This window comes from Homo sapiens, chromosome 1, assembly GCF_000001405.40.
Source record: "Homo sapiens chromosome 1, GRCh38.p14 Primary Assembly".
NCBI classification, from domain to species: domain Eukaryota; kingdom Metazoa; phylum Chordata; class Mammalia; order Primates; family Hominidae; genus Homo; species Homo sapiens.
This window is the reverse complement of record NC_000001.11, coordinates 113,914,152-113,929,616: the sequence shown is the minus strand read 5'-3', so window position 1 is coordinate 113,929,616 and position 15,465 is coordinate 113,914,152. Positions and strand designations below refer to the sequence as shown.

Genomic DNA, 15,465 nt, shown 5'->3' with positions numbered 1-15,465 from the left:
AACGGAATGCCGAGCGGCCGTCCCTCAACCCGGCCGGCCCCGCCTCGCCGGAACTATTCACCCGCCCCGCGCCATGACACCTACTGAGGCGGAAGTGCAGCTGAATGGACTCTCTAGGACGATCGCATAGTACTGATTGCAGTAGGAGTCGGTGGGCCTCGAGTAGGTGGGCCTCCGTAGGGAGCCAGCGTGGATCGAGTGCGGGGCCTGGACTTCCCGCCCCCTCCGCACTGCAGACTCTGCGGTGATTTAAAGGTGCCTGGCGGTGGTACGGGATCCAACTGTAAAATGTCATCCCAGCTAGTGTGACATCACCACAGTTTAGTGTGACACCCCCAGAGCTTGGGCAGTGTACGGGACGACAGTGCCTAGCAGAGGAGCTTCACTGCCGGTGAGGGATTACCTCAGGTTAGGCTTTAATGTTTCGTTGCCGTCTAGAGACGTTCTAGCAATGTGACATCTGTGTACCATATCTGGAAGTCTCCCTGTACGTCAAGAGCCCCTTAGGGGAGTCTCCCATTGCCGCCGTGGGAACCTGTGTTTACATTACGAGGAGAGAGAATAGCTGTACTCTGAACTCAAACGCTCAAAACATGCAGTGAGCGAATGCTAGCATAATTTTCTTGCCTCTACCAGAAGGAAGGCTGGGTATTTAGGAAACAGAACGCGTTGGGCACAACATTCTGAGAAAATGGACACAGAAAATTAGGTTATCCTAATAGAAAAGCAGTTGCATCTCCCAAAGTCAAGAGATTCTGTAGGACTTCCGATGTATCTCCTGCTGTGTAAAATATTCAGGTTCCTGAAGTGGGGGACATTTTTAGGGCAACTGTAATTTCTTCATTTTTTCCATCCCACAAGTGCTGGAGGCAGCAGTGATCTGAGCTCTAGAAAGTGACTGTCCGTCACCATCGGTATTTGCATATACTCTGTGAGGAGAAGGGCAGTTGTGGCTAAGACAAAATTCTACTATCAAGTTTTGTTTCTCAAATCTCACTCATTAACATCTTTGATTTCCTTGGATCCCCATAACACACACAGAAAACTATGATTTGTGTAAAATGCGCTGAAGTACCTTTTAAGGGAAGTCATTTGGCTTTCTCTCTGGCTTAACAACACGGGGAGCAGTTCCATTTTATCTGGAACAGGGAAGTTTATTTCCCTAGAGAACTAGGGTTACCAAAAATGTTCGATCCCACAAGGCAGTTTTGTTTGCATATTTTCACAGAAACTTCCTTCTACTACTTAAAGTCCTCACATTGGGCTGACCTGGGAAACATGAAGATAAAAAGAGTGGGTAAACATGCCTGCTTGATGAGCCAGAAAAAAAGGCAGAAACCTGTGGTCTGGGTAGAACAGATCCTGCTCAGAATGTAAGCTTCAAACATGTTTATCATGCCTTGGTTCAACCTAACTCTCTGACATGTTCCTAAACTCCTGCTCTCTCAAGTTATGTCCCTTTCCTCTTTTCAAATATCTCTCAGAATTCACCCTTTCGGGAACCTTTGCTGATTGACTCCTATTTTATTTGAATTCTGCATCATCATCTGATTACTTAAATTAACCTGTACCTTCTTTATTTATACTTGTTAACTTCTATTTTCATTGCTCTTAGGTCCTCAGTCTTTCTCACTATACGGAGAGCTTCTTAAAGTCTGTATTTTCTCCTCTTTAGTATCATTCACTCATTCATCCAGCAAACTGCTTGTGTGCCTGCTCTGTGCTATACACTCTTCTAGACACTGGGTCAGGTATGAATGAGACAGGTGAATAAAGCATGGTCTTTTCCCTCAGGGACCTTACAGTCTAATGAGGAAAAAACGTGTGCAGACATATATAAGATAAGTGAGAGAGTCGGAGAAGAACATCAGAAGTGATATTTGAGCATAGTAAGGTCAAAGAAGTTTCAAAGTTTAGTCATTTGTCCATTCAGTAACTATTTATAGAGCATCTTCTGTGTGCTAGGCACTATATAAGAAATTAAGGGGCTGGGTGTGGTGGCTCATGCCTGTAATCCCAGCACTTCGGGAGGCTGAGGCAGGTGAATCACCTGAGGTCAGGAGTTCGAGACCAGCCTGGCCAACATGGTGAAACCCCGTCTCTACTAAAAATACAAACATTAGCCAAGTGTAGTGGCGCATGCCTGTAATCCCAGCTACCCTGGAGGCTTAAGCAGAAGAACCGCTGGAACCCAGGAGAAGAAGGCTACCATGAGCCGAGATTGCACCATTGCACTCCAGCCTGGGCGACAGTGAGACTCTGTCTCAAAAAAAAAAAAAAGAAAGAAAGAAAGAAATAAAAAAAAAAGAAATTAAGGATACACAGAAGAAAAGGCATGGTCTGTGCCCTGAAGGAGCTTACAGTTAAGCAGAGAAGTTGCACGATTTGGAAGTAGTAAGGTAAATTGAGTCAGATTTTGAAAGGCAATGTAGAGCTGTTAGAAGTTTATTCGCACAGGTAGCCAGGCACAGTGGCTCATGCCTGTAATCCCAGCACTTTGGGAAGCCAAGGTGGCAGATCACTGGAGGTCAGGAGTTCAAGACCAGCCTGGCCAACACAGTGAAACCCCATCTCTACTACAAATACAAAAATTAGCCAGATATGGTGGCATATGCTTGTAATCCCAGCTACTCGGGAGGCTGAGGCAGGAGAATCGCTTGAATCCGGGAGGCAGAGGTTGCAGTGAGCCGAGATCGTGCCACTGCAGTCTAGGCTGGGCAAACAGAGCCAGACTCTGTCTCAAAAAAGAAGTTTATTCAGACAGGTAATGTGAGAGAGAACTAGTGATGGTGAAGGAAGAGGGCTAGCTGGAGTGGGTAAAGACTGGAGAAAGGGATCCTAATCAGAAAACTATGATGAGGGTTTGATTACACAGGAAAGAAGGCGAGAAGGGGCAGATATGTGAAATACATCCTCCTAAACCAAGTCAGAGCAACTGGAGAGGGAGGTGGAGCAGTTAGCAATCGGAAGCATTCAAGTTTCATTCAGGGTATGACATCCTTCTAGGGCCTACAGCCTAGATTCAGTGTTGCAGGCAAGAAGTCATTTGCCCAAGAGCGGCAGTGCTTAAGGCCAAATAGGAGAAGCTGATGAGAAGGCTGTGTCTTGAGAGAAGCTGAACCAAAAAGCTAGGCAAACTATTCAAACAAATAGTGAATCCTAGGGGCTAGGAAAAAAAAGAGAATTTAAATAGAAGCCAACAGGTTGTGAAACTGGGAAAACCAGATTAGAGTGAAGGTCTGCAGTAAACGATAAAAAGCAGAAAAGTCCCTTGAGCCAACAGGAGGAGAACCTCAATGATTTTTTAAAAATCCAGACCCCAGAATACTTTTTATTTGGAAATAATGTTAAACATACAGATATGTTGCAAGAGTGACAAAAAGAGGACCCAGATTATTAACATCTTGCCCCTTTTGCTTTATCATTTGCAGTTATAGATAGATAGAGTTATATTACACACATACATGCCTTTTTTTTTTTTTTTTTTTTTTTTTTTTTTAGACAGAGTCTCACTCTGTCACCTAGGCTGGAGTGCAGTGGCATGATCTCGGCTCACTGCAACCTCCACCTCCTGGGTTTAAGCGATTCTCCTGTCTCAGCCTCCCGAGTAGCTGGGATTACAGGTGCCCGCTGTCACACCTGACTAATTTTTTTGTATTTTAGTAGAGACGGGGTTTCACCGTGTTACCCAGGCTGGTCTTGAACTCCTGAACTCAGGCAATCCACCCACCTCAGCCTCCCAAAGTGCTAAGATTATAGGTGTGAGCCACCGTGCCCAGCCCACGTACATATTTTTTTTTCCAAGCAGTTAAAAGTAAATCGCATGCATCATCCTCCTTTACCACATAATACTTGAATATCCTAATAAGTACATTCTCTTATGTAAACAAAATACATACAATTAACAACTCCAGGAAATTTAACATTGCTGTAATACTTTACCATCCATGTTCCAAATGTTGTCAGTTGATCAAATAACATCATTCTTAGCATTTTTTTTATTTTCCAGCACAAGATCCAGTTTAGGATCATATATTACATTTAATTGTCATGTCTCTTTAGTGTTCTTTAATCTGGCACAGTTCCTCAGCTTTTCTTTGTCTTTAATATTTTTGAAGAATACAGGACTTTTTCTGGTAAGGGGTAATAAAATGTTCTTCATGGCTGGGCGTGGTGGCTCACGCCTGTAATCCCAGCACTTTGGGAGGCCAAGGTGGGTAGATTGCAAGGTCAGGAGCTCAAGACCAGCCTGGCCAAGATGGTGAAACCCCATCTCTACTAAAAATACAAAAATTAGCCAGGCGCGGTGGCAGGTGCCTGTAATCCCAGCTACTTGGGAGGCTGAGGCAGAGAATTGCTTGAACCCGGGAGGCGGAGGTTTCAGTGAGCCAAGATCATGCCACTGCACTCCAGCCTGGGCAACAGAGCAAGACTCTGTCCCCCCGACCAAAAAAAAAAGATCTGAGCATTAGGCCCACAGTGATTTATTACTGAATGCTTGTATGTGAATATCAGCCCTTCAGCCTCCCTGCTCATCCCTTTCCTCAGGTTGCAAGCCTTAGGTATTACCAAGATTTTTCTCTTAAGACTCCTTTTGAGTATCCTTAGCAGAGAAAGCTTGCATAGGGAAATTTGGCAGACACTGTCCGTTGCCTATTCAAATGAATAGTTAGGTTTAGCTAACTTGTGTAGCAAACAATCCCCATACCTCAGGGGCTTATGGAAAGGTCACTGCTAGCTGGTCCATGATGGCATGTGCTTATAGTCCCAGCTTCTCAGGAGGCTGAGGCAGGAGGATTGCTTGAGCCCAGGAGTTCAAATCCAGCCTGGGCAACATATTGAGACCCCCATCTCTAAGGTAGATAGATTAGATACATGGATGGATGGATGGATGGATAGATAGATAGATAGATAGATAGATAGATAGATAGATAGATAGATATTACTGATATTGGTGAGAGCCACTACTCCCATCTCTGAGAGAGGGAGAGAGAGAGAGAGAGAGAGAGAGAGAGATAGTATTTGATCTTCGAGAGAGCGGTTTTAGTGGCATAGTTTGGGCAGAAGCTGTGTGGTTCCTATATAGGATTACTCATAGTATGAGTGGTGACTGACAATCTGGGAAGAATGGCCTGGTCCAGCTGAATGGTAGAATCTATTCTGGTCAATACCCATATTCAGCTCTCAATATCCAAGGAATCTGCTTGGGTCCACATCAGCTACATCTGAGAAGTTATGAAATGAATCATTTTGACTACATTCTCTATCACTTCTCTTCTCACAGGTATAAACCAGGAAAAGTTGTTCTGGCCCCTCATCTGGTTTCATGAAGGACAATATCTAGCATGAGAGTGACAGGGGTTAGAATAATGGACATTTTGGGGACTGGGTCCTAGCAGAAATGATGGAATAATGGAACAGGAGTTTGGATGAATGGGCATATTATGGGATTAAAGAAGATTTGAATACAAGCTTTCCTAATAAATGAAAGGGGAGGTGAAACTAGAGCATGCTGATGGCTGCACAGCATTGTGAATGCACTAAATGCACTAACTGTCCACTTTAAAATGTTTAGTAATATGTCGATTTTACCTAAATAAAAAAAAGGAAGCAACATAGTGAGTCATCGTCTCTATAACAATTTTATTCAGATGTCTTGGAGGATAAACCTTTCTTTTTTTAATTAGCCAGGCGTGGTGGCACACACCTGTAGTCCCAGCTATTCAGGAGGGTAAGGTGGGAGGATTGCTTGACCACTAGAAGTTGAGGCTGCAGTGAGCTATGATCTTGTCACTACACTCCAGCCTGGGCAACAAAGCAAGACCCTGTCTCAAAAAAAAAAAAAAAGTGGGGTGGCAGGGAGGGAGGTTTTCAGGATTTAGAGACAAGGCACAATTACCCTTAATTTTCAAGGGTCAACCCAGAGACTATTGTGGGGAAAGAACAAATGCCTTGACTCCTTATATAACCCATGTTTATGACTCCTCAGACCCTCCTTCCTCCATAATCATTTCTAATGTCACCCTTTTCTACACATAATGATCTTACTCTTTCTCACTTTTCTCATATACCAACTGTTTATGTAGCAAAAGCAAGGAATAGTGCTTTTTCTCCCTTTCCTTGGGTCAGCATTTCTCATTATTATGCTTCCTCTGTTATGTAGTTTCTAACCTTTTCTTTTTTTAAAAAATCATCCTCCCCACTCTAAGATTCTCACCTTTTCTTTGACCAACTGTTACACAGAATTTAGCATCTGCATTCCATATGTCTTTCCCTATCATCAATTTCAAGCAATATCTAAAACCAAAATAAATGGTTTGGGAAGGCACACAGAGACCCACATGAAAAGGGCAATGGAGCAGAACAGGAACTTGAAATTTAATAATTGAATATTATTTGTGCTAAGTCATTTTGTACTTCCCACAAACTCAGAAATCAAAAAGCCCCAATGAAGTGTCCCCTGCCCAGCACAATTCCTTACACATGGTTGGTGCTATAACTGTTTTCATGAGTAAATTACTGAGCGCTTATTCGCAGTGCTCAAAGCATCAGGATCAGTTAACTATAGAATAGGGGTTAAGAAACTTCAAAAGGACTGGGTACAATGGCTCCTACTTGTAATCCCAGCATTTTCGGAGGCTGAGGCAGGAGGATCGCTTGAGTCCAGGAGCTGAAGGACCAGTGTGGGCAACATAGTGAGACCTCATCTTTACAAGAAAAAATTAAAAATTAGCCAGGTGTGGTGGTGTGCACCTGCGGTCCCAGCTACTTGAGAGGGAGGCTGAGGTTGGAGGATTGCTTCAGCACAAGAGACTGAGACTTGTGCCACTGTACTCCAGCCTGAGTGACAGAGCCAGATCCTGTCTCAAAACAAACAAAAAAAAAAAGAGAGAGAGAGAGAAGAAGGGAGGGAGGAAGGATGTCAGGGAGGGAAGGAGACTTCATATTGTTCACGCCTGTAATTCCAGAACTTCAGGACTGGGAGGCCGAGGTAGGAGGATTGCTTGAAGACAGGAGTTGAAGACCAGCCTGAGCATCATAACAAGACCTCATCTCTATTTAAAAAAGAAGAAACCTCAAAATAACAATTATCGTCATTGACTGTGAATTTAATTTTTTTATTATTACTTTTGTAAACTCACTTTGATGAAACCTGTAAGCAGTCAACAGGTGGTTCTTTTCACTCAGGGTAGGATAGGGGAATGTGCTCTATGCAAACCCTAGAGGGTAAATTCGCTGATGTGAAATAGGCTTTTACCTGACCAACCTCACTGCTCCTAGGATATCCAGTATAGAAAAATAGGAGCTTCAGAGCCTGACATCCATAGGAATCCTGACTCTGGTAGGGATTAGGGTATGATGGTGGGCATCTTAACGAGAATCACTTTCCTCATACTGAAAATGAAGATGATAATACCTTTTCCTTACCTCCCTCATTCCATCCATCAGAAAATGTCTTCAGTGTTACTTCCAAAAGATACCCTGGCTGGGCGCGGTGGCTCAAGCCTGTAATCCCAGCACTTTGGGAGGCCTGAGGTCTTTTTTTTTTTGAGACAGAGTCTCACTCTGTTGCCCAGGCTGGAGTGCAGTGGCATGATCTCGGCTCACCACAATCTCCACCCCCCGGGTTCAAGCGATTCTCCTGCCTCAGCCTCCTGAGTAGCTTCCGAGTAGCTTCTGAGTAGCTTCCGAGTAGCCCGGCTAATTTTTGTATGTTTAGTAGAGACGGGGTTTCACCATCTTGGCCAAGCTGGTCTTGAACTCCTGACCTCATGATTCACTTGCCTCAGCCTCCCAAAGTGCTGGGGTTACAGGCATGAGCCACCATGCCCGGCCCTATAATAATCTTAATAATTTAAAAATAAAACGTAAGGGCGGGGCGCGATTGCTCACACCTATAATCCCAGCACTTTGGGAAGCCGAGGCAGGCAGATCACTTGAGGTCGGGAGTTCGAGACCAGCCTGACCAACGTGGAGAAACCCCGTCTCTACTAAAAATACAAAATTAGCCAGGCATGGTGGCGCATGCCTGTAATCCCAGCTGCTCGGGAGGCTGAGGCAGGAGAATCGCTTGACCCAGGAGACGGAGGTTGCGGTGAGCTGAGATCGTGCCATTGCTCTCCAGCCTGGGCAATAAGAGTGAAACTCCATCTCAAAAAATAATAATAATAAATAAAAATTAAAATTAAAAAGCATTGGGTGCGGTGGTTCACGCCTGTAATCCCAGCACTTTGGGAGGCTGAGGCAGGCGGATCACTTAAGTTCAGGAGTTTGAGACCACCCTGGCCAACGTGGTGAAACCCCATGTCTACTAAAAATACAAAAATTTGCTGAGCATGGTGGTTCATGCCTGTAGTCCCAGCTGCTCGGGAGGCTAAGGCAGGAGAATCACTTGAACGTGAGAGGCAGATGTTGCAGTGAGCTGAGGTCATGCCACTGTACTCCAGCCTGGGCGACAGAGTGAGAGAGACTCCGTCTCAAAAAATAAATAAATAAATATAAATAAATAAAAAGTAAATACTCTCTGATTAATGAAGTTTTTTTATTGAAGATTCTTAGTGTCTCAGGAAATGTAAACTCTAACCCTAAGACTTGTGTTGACTCCAAAGCAAGTAAAACATGCTATTTCTTTTAAGAAGATAGTTATAAAACATGCCTATTATAGGAAATAATGTTAAATTCATAAAATATTCCAATTATTTACTTATAAACTGGCTTACTCATTTCTTCCTGTTTTCTCATTCCCCACAAATATGTGTATTTATATACTATTTGTGTGTATACATATGGTTACAGATGCGCTTTTTCTTTGTGAAAGCTTTGGTGGAGGAAAAGATATTCTTTTTCGCTGTAGCTGCTTGTAATAAAAAGGTACTCTAAAAGATTCCTGTCTAGACACAGTGTAAATCCGGCCAGGTGTGGTGACTCATGCCTGTAATCCCAGGACTTTGGGAGGCCCAGGCGAGAGGATCATGAGGCCAGGAGTTCAAGACCAGCCTGGGCAACATAGTGAGACCACATCTCTACTTAAAAAAAAAAAATCAAATAGAATGTAAATCACCTTTCCCCAGCTCAGCTCACCAATATCTCTTATTGCTGTAAGAGCATCCTAAATGGTATCCTGTTTTCATTTTTGCCCCATTCTCTGTTGTTTTCAAAAATATTTAACAGATCATATCACTCCCCTAATTTAAAGCACTCCAATAGCTTATAAATACACTTACAATCAAATTTAAACTTCTTACTTTAAACTATTAAGTCACTTCTGATCCAACACCTGCCTCCCTCTCTGTGACCTCATCTCCTCTTCTTCTCCTTCTGACACACACTTCTTTGTTTATGTGTATATATTTCTTTTTTTCTTTATTTTTATTTTTGGAGACAGAGTCTCTCTCTGTCACCCAGGCTGGAGTGCAGTGGCACAAGCTCGGCTCACTGAAACCTCCACCTCCTAGGTTCAATTCTCCTGCCTCAGCCTCCCAAGTAGCTGGGATGACAGGCACGCACCACCACGCCCAGCTAATTTCTTGTACTTTTAGTAGAGACAGGGTTTCATCACGTTGACCAGGCTGGTCTCGAACTCCTGACCTCAGGTGATCTGCCCACCTTGGCTTCCAAAGTGCTGGGATTACAAGCATGAGCCACCGTGCCTGGCCCGTGTGTGTGTGTGTGTGTGTGTGTGTGTGTGTGTGTGTGTGAGAAATATATATATTTCAACTTTTAATTTTAGATTCAGGAGGTACACATAACAGGTTTGTTTCATAGGTATATTGCATAATACTGAGGTTTTGGGTATGATTGATTCCCATCACCCAGGTAGTAAGCATAGTACCTAATAGTTTTTCAACCCTTGTCCCCCACCCAGTTGTCCCCAGTGGCTCTTATTGCTATCTTTCTGTCTGTGACCACCCAATGTCTAGCTTCCACTTACAAATAAAAGCATGCAGTATTTGATTTTCTGTTGCCGTGTTAATTTGCTTAGGATAATGGCCTCCAGCTGCATCATTGTTGCTGCAAAGGACATGATTTCTTTCTTTGTGTGGCTGCATAGTATTCCCTGGCATATATGTACCACATATTCTTTATCCAATCCACTGGGTTATTTTATTTTTTTATTTTACACATCACAAGTTACCATTAACCAATCCACTGTTGATGGGCACCTAGGTTGCTTCCATGTCTTTGCTATTGTGAATAGTGCTGGGATGGACAGATGAGTGCAGGTGTGTTTTTAGTAGGATGATTTATTTTCCTTTGAATATATGCCCAGAATGGGATTGCTGGGTCAAATAGTAGTTCTCTTTTCCACAGTGGATGAACTAATTTACATTCCCACCAACAGTGTATAAGCGTTCCCTTTTCTCTGCAGCCTCACCAGCGTCTGTTGTTTTTTGACTTTTTTTTTTTTTTGAGACGGAGTCTTGCTCTGTTGTCCAGGCTGGAGTGCAGTGTGGCCCGATCTCAGCTCACTGCAACCTCTGCCTCCCGGATTCAAGCAATTCTCCTGCCTCACCCTCCCGAGTAGCTGGGACTACAGGTGCCCGCCGCCATGCCTGGCTATTTTTTGTATTTTTAGTAGAGACAGGGTTTCACTATTTTGGCCAGGCTGGTCTCGAACTCCTAACCTCGTGATCCTTCTGCCTTGGGCTCCCAAAGTGCTGGGATCACAGGTGTGAGCCACTGCACCTGACCATTTTGACTTCTTAATAATAGCCATTCTGACAGGTGTGAGATGGTACCACATTGTGGTTTTGATTTGCATTTCTCTACACTCACTTCTTCATGTTCCTTAGGCACAAAGCTCATTCCCATCCTATCCCAGGGGCTGATTCTGCCTGAACCCTCTACCTATTCCCTACTCTCGGCAACACAGTGAGACCTCGTCTCTACAAAAACAATTTTTAAATTAGACCTCCCCACCAGGTCTTCACCTGGCTGGCTCATCACTCAGGTCTCATTTTGTTGTCAGTCCCACAGATGCACTTGAGCAAATAAGCCAGGAGAAAAAGTTTAAAATTGAGGCTTCAGATGTAGTACAATTTCTGGTAATGACAGGGTGGTGAGGTAGAGGGAGAATAAGGTCTTTGAAGATGAGGTCAAGGAAGCTGAATGGCCAGGGTATTGAAATCATCCAGAATGATGACAGGGTTGTGAAGGAGGAGAAGGCTGTGAGTCAATGACTCAAGTCTTGATAAGTGAGGATGGGAAGGAGGGGATGGTATAGCTAGATAGTATGCACTTCATGGTAGGAGAGATGGTCACAGGAAGAAATGGCAATAATGGTTAGGAGGCAGCAAGGAGAATAAGGAGAACATCAATGTCACCTTCTTACCTTGAGGTGGGGGGAGAGAAAAAGAGCCTCTATGTGAGAAGCTGGCTGGAAAGCAGTGTGCTCAGAGGAGAGCCAGTCTTCAATTTAGGCAAGGAGGGTGATGGATACTTTCAGAAAAGATGCTGAGGACATAGAGGAATTTGCTGATCACAGAGCAGGAGACTTGAGAGCCTAGTGAAAGAGGGGAGGGAAGGCTGAGAATCCGGCCTTAAAGACTTGAACTCCTGACAGTGACTGCGGTTTAAACAGGGTATGGGGGATTCATTCTGCCACCTTTAGGGTGAGGCTGGGTGACCAGACCTGTTCTTATGGTCCAGGGAAGTTGCCCCAGGGTGTTGCAGCTTGGTATCCTTGATGCTCAAAGGTGTCTTCCTAAGGCTTCATATGTTGTAAGAGTTTGAGTCATAAAGCTTTGTCATAACCACTGATGTACATGGGAGAGGAGGTGAATCAAGGACTTAAAGAGATGAGAAGCAGCTTTGAAAATACCAGAGGCTGAAATCTGTAGTGATACCAGTTGTATGGTTCTTTTCTCCAGTGGCTCTGCCTTCCTTCTGTAGGAGTTGAAAAGGAGAATTCCAGGACTGATCCAAGGTTGTTGGTTTATACAGCTGGTGTGGCAGAAGAATCTAGAACCAGACCAAGCATAGTGTCTGGCCCTTAGTTTACCCACAATGTTTTGAAATGCACAGCCCAGACTGCTCTGCTCTGCACACCTCTTTGGATTCTCTGAGCCTCTGATTAACTACTTATTCTTCTGAGGTGTTTTGGCTTTGCCTTAGGATTTTACAGTTAAATTTACTCAGCACAGCATCTGAAGCTTATCATGATTTCACCCTACTCTTTTTCCATCTGTACAAATGCATCCTTGGATGCTTCAGGTAACTGCCCTTTTGGTTAGACTTGACTCCAGGAACCTCTCCCCCAGGAAGTACCTTCATCAGCCAATCTCTCAGATTTTTCTGGGCCTGAAAGATAGGATTAGCCAATGGCACTATCCAGGGCATGCACTGGACATGTCAGTCACTCCTCTGTAAACAGGATTTAAGGTATGTCAGGGAGTTTGAGGCCAAACATTTTTTTTTTCTGCGATAGGGTCTTGCTGTGTTGCCCATGCCGGAGTGCAGTGGTGTGATCTCGGCTCACTGCAACCTGCCTCCCTGGTTCAAGCAATTCTCCTGCCTTAGCCTCCCAAGTAGCTGGGACGACAGGCACATGCCACCACTCCCGGCTAACTTTTGTATTTTTAGTAGAGATGGGGTTTCACTATATTGGCCATGCTGGTCTTGAACTCCTGACCTCAGGTGATCTGCCCACCTTGGCCTCCCAAAGTGCTGGGATTACAGGCATGAGCCACTGCACCCAGCCAAAGGCAAAAACTTTTTCTTTTCTTTCTTTTTTTTTTTTTTAATGTATTGGATACTCTTATGAAGTGCTTTAGTTGCTTTATTCTATTTCATTCTCCTCCAAACCCTATGAGGTAGGCATTATTATTCCCACTCTACAAAAAGGAACTTTAAGCTGGAAAGCTGAGTAGCTTGCTAGAGATTATATACACAGCTAGTAAGTCACAGGATCACGATTCCAACCCAAGACATCTAACTTGAAAATCCATCTTTTCCACTATGGCCTACTATTGTGTGCACTGGGAGAATCCTGGGAGATAAGGCTGGAAGGATAGGTTGGGCCTTGTATCATGTGGACCTAAAATGTTCTGAATAGTTTGGGTTCTTGAATGTGTATGAGCAGAGAAAATGTTCTTAGTAAGAGGTGATTGAAGGATTTTTATCCCACCATTGAGAGGGAAATTAGAAAGCAGATGGTATGAGCCTGGAAGATGGGTGGGAATTTGAAGAAATTCAGCTGATCAAAGCTTTCCTTTCCTCCTGAAGACATGTTTTCTCCAAACTTTGTATCCCTGACTCCCTAAACAGCAGGCATCTGCTCTTGCTCTGGTGCTTTGTCTCCACAAAGCCTAATTAGTAGGGTGAGTGAGCTTAACCCAATTTCCTTCGCTCCTCAAAAACACACATTTCAATGAGCACATTGAGGATGGAGTAGCACAGGGGACCAATTTTTCATCCCACACTCTCCAAAGTTGTTATAAATTAACCAGAGGAGACAGGACTGGTAAGATAGCCATAATACAATAGTGTAAATAATGTAAGACACAGGCGAACCCAAGGCTAGCCAGAAATTTTGTGTGATTGAAAGATGATTCAATAAGCTATTTATCCAGAAGAACCAAGCCCAGAATCCTGGGAGCTTTTTGTGATCCAGTAGGTCAAGGCTATGTTCAAAGAAGACAAAGTTACCCAGGAATGAGACAGTCAAGATGGAAGGGTAGAGCTAAATGAAGGGTAGGCATTGTGGTCAAGATAAAGACAAGCTTAACCATTCTGAGAATCCCTCACAGGCAGCTGTTAGACTCAGATGTTTATAAGGGAGAGCAGCATCATTCTGTTCAGGTATAGGTGGGATCCCCTGGGGAAGAGAAAAGGGAAAGCACCATGAGTCTAAGACAAAACAGCTTGTGGTGGTTGGTGGTGGCTGAGGAGCATGAGGGGTGGGAGGCAGCTAATACACTGACAGGTGCTCACTGATGGTAACATCGAAAATATATGCACATGGGCTGGGCTGGGCACGGTGGCTCACACCTGTGATCCCTGCACTTTGGGAGGCCTAGGTGGGCGGATCACCTGAGGTCAGGAGTTCGAGACCAGCCTGGCCAACATGGTGAAACCCCATCTCTACTAAAAATACAAAAATTAGCCAGGTGTGGCAGTGCACGCCTGTAATCGCAGCTACTTGGGAGGCTGAGGCAAGAGAATTGAACCCAGGAGGCAGAGGTTGTGGTGAGCCAAGACAGTGCCATTGCATCCAGCCTGGGCAACAGAGTGAGACTCCTCAAAAAAAAAAAAAAAAAAAAAGAAAGGAAGAAAGAAAAAGAAAAGAGAAGAACAAGTGGAGTCACTCATCTGTTTCCTACCACAAAGGGCAATCTGGGTCAAGAGTAAGAGATGGCCTCCCAACACCAGCCAGGCAGATTTTTTTTCTGTAAGGGGACTTAAGCCATTGTCAGTCACCTTGTGGAAAAGTACAAGTTCTCCCACAGATCATCCATTAAATAACTAATGGATCTCTAGGGAACCTCCTTTTTCCCAGCACCTTCAAGCCTAATTGCAATATCTTCATACATCTATAGGATCATCTTTAGATTCTAAAAATAATTTAAATTGGCTATGTAAAGTATATGCAATGCAGCATTTTTATATGAGGGACTATTGGAAAATCAAACAACTGCTAATCTCTAGTATAAGAAGGCAGACATTTTTTCTTTTAGAATAGTATGGAATTTTCCCATTATGAAAACACAAACATGGCTGGGCACACGGGCTCATGCCTGTAATCCCAGCACTTTGGGAGGCCAAGGTAGGGGGGATCACTTGAGGCCAGGAGTTCAACACCAAGACCAGCCTGGGCAACATAGTGAAACTTCATCTCTACAAAAAAAAAAAAAAAAAAAAATTAGTTGGGCATGGTGGTGCATGCCTATAGTCCCAGGTACTCAAGAGGCTCAGGTGGGAGAATCTCTTGAGCCTGGGAGGTCGAGGCTGCAGTGAGTTATGGCTGTGCCACTGCACTCCAGCCTGAGTGACAGAGCTAAAACCTGTCTCCAAAAAAAAGCCAAACAAACAAATGCAAACATGCTACCAACAACTAAATTCCTCAAAGTCTTTTGCTTCCCCTCCCCTATCTGAATGCATATAGAACCCACTTGAAGGAACAGGTGTGACACAGCATGTGCCAAGAGTAGACGGGCTCCCTTGTTGCTAGAAGATAACGCCAATATGGGAACCCCTGTACTGAGAACTACCTTATCTCTCCCAGCCACCTTCGGCCGCCTAGAAGTCAGACAGCTAGAGGATGCTAGAGGAAGTCCAGCTAAATTTGCCCACACAGTTTAGTAGCTATTTATTAAGTTAACACATGAGATGATTTTCCATGTGTTAACATGTACCGTTCTTGTGATCTCATTTAAACTAATGAGTCTTCAAGGTATTTTAATGCTATCCTGTCTGCAGAAAAGATGGTCAGGAAACCTTTCTGGAGGGCAATTCAGCACAATTGGT

The 15,465-nt window shown here is 44.0% G+C and overlaps 1 protein-coding gene and 1 long non-coding RNA gene across 12 annotated transcripts in view, besides 3 other annotated features; one reads left to right on the top strand and one right to left on the bottom strand.

Moving 5' to 3' along the window:
- The window catches only part of HIPK1 (homeodomain interacting protein kinase 1), a 48,546-nt gene extending 48,253 nt beyond the window's left edge, over positions 1-293 (bottom strand). For all 10 annotated transcript variants that reach the window (NM_198268.3, XM_005270611.6, XM_005270610.6 and 7 more), the window contains exon 1: positions 85-293. The gene's annotated coding sequence lies outside the window, so the exon portion shown is untranslated. The remainder of the gene's footprint in view (positions 1-84) is intronic.
- Positions 63-382: an enhancer, noted in NCBI's record as "active region_1542". NCBI's record gives its function as "activates an Ori minimal core promoter by ATAC-STARR-seq in GM12878 lymphoblastoid cells {active_cell/tissue: GM12878}" and the evidence as "EXISTENCE:reporter gene assay evidence [ECO:0000049][PMID:35858748]".
- Positions 92-5,616, top strand: HIPK1-AS1 (HIPK1 antisense RNA 1). Of its 2 annotated transcripts, NR_110725.1 has the most exons (5): positions 359-914; positions 1,229-1,373; positions 1,795-2,764; positions 2,876-2,989; positions 5,285-5,616. It is a non-coding gene; the product is annotated as an HIPK1 antisense RNA 1 (long non-coding RNA). The 2 variants fall into 2 exon arrangements; NR_110726.1 differs by lacking the exons at positions 359-914; positions 1,795-2,764; positions 2,876-2,989 and adding an exon at positions 92-255.
- Positions 15,147-15,291: an enhancer, noted in NCBI's record as "145 bp enhancer 196 fragment used in the MPRA reporter construct; PK_construct_4237". NCBI's record gives its function as "activates an SV40 promoter by MPRA in K562 cells {active_cell/tissue: K562}" and the evidence as "EXISTENCE:reporter gene assay evidence [ECO:0000049][PMID:23512712]".
- Positions 15,210-15,227: a transcriptional cis regulatory region, noted in NCBI's record as "GATA motif; enhancer activity is reduced when this motif is scrambled". NCBI's record gives its function as "necessary for full MPRA enhancer 196 activity {active_cell/tissue: K562}" and the evidence as "EXISTENCE:site-directed mutagenesis evidence [ECO:0005528][PMID:23512712]".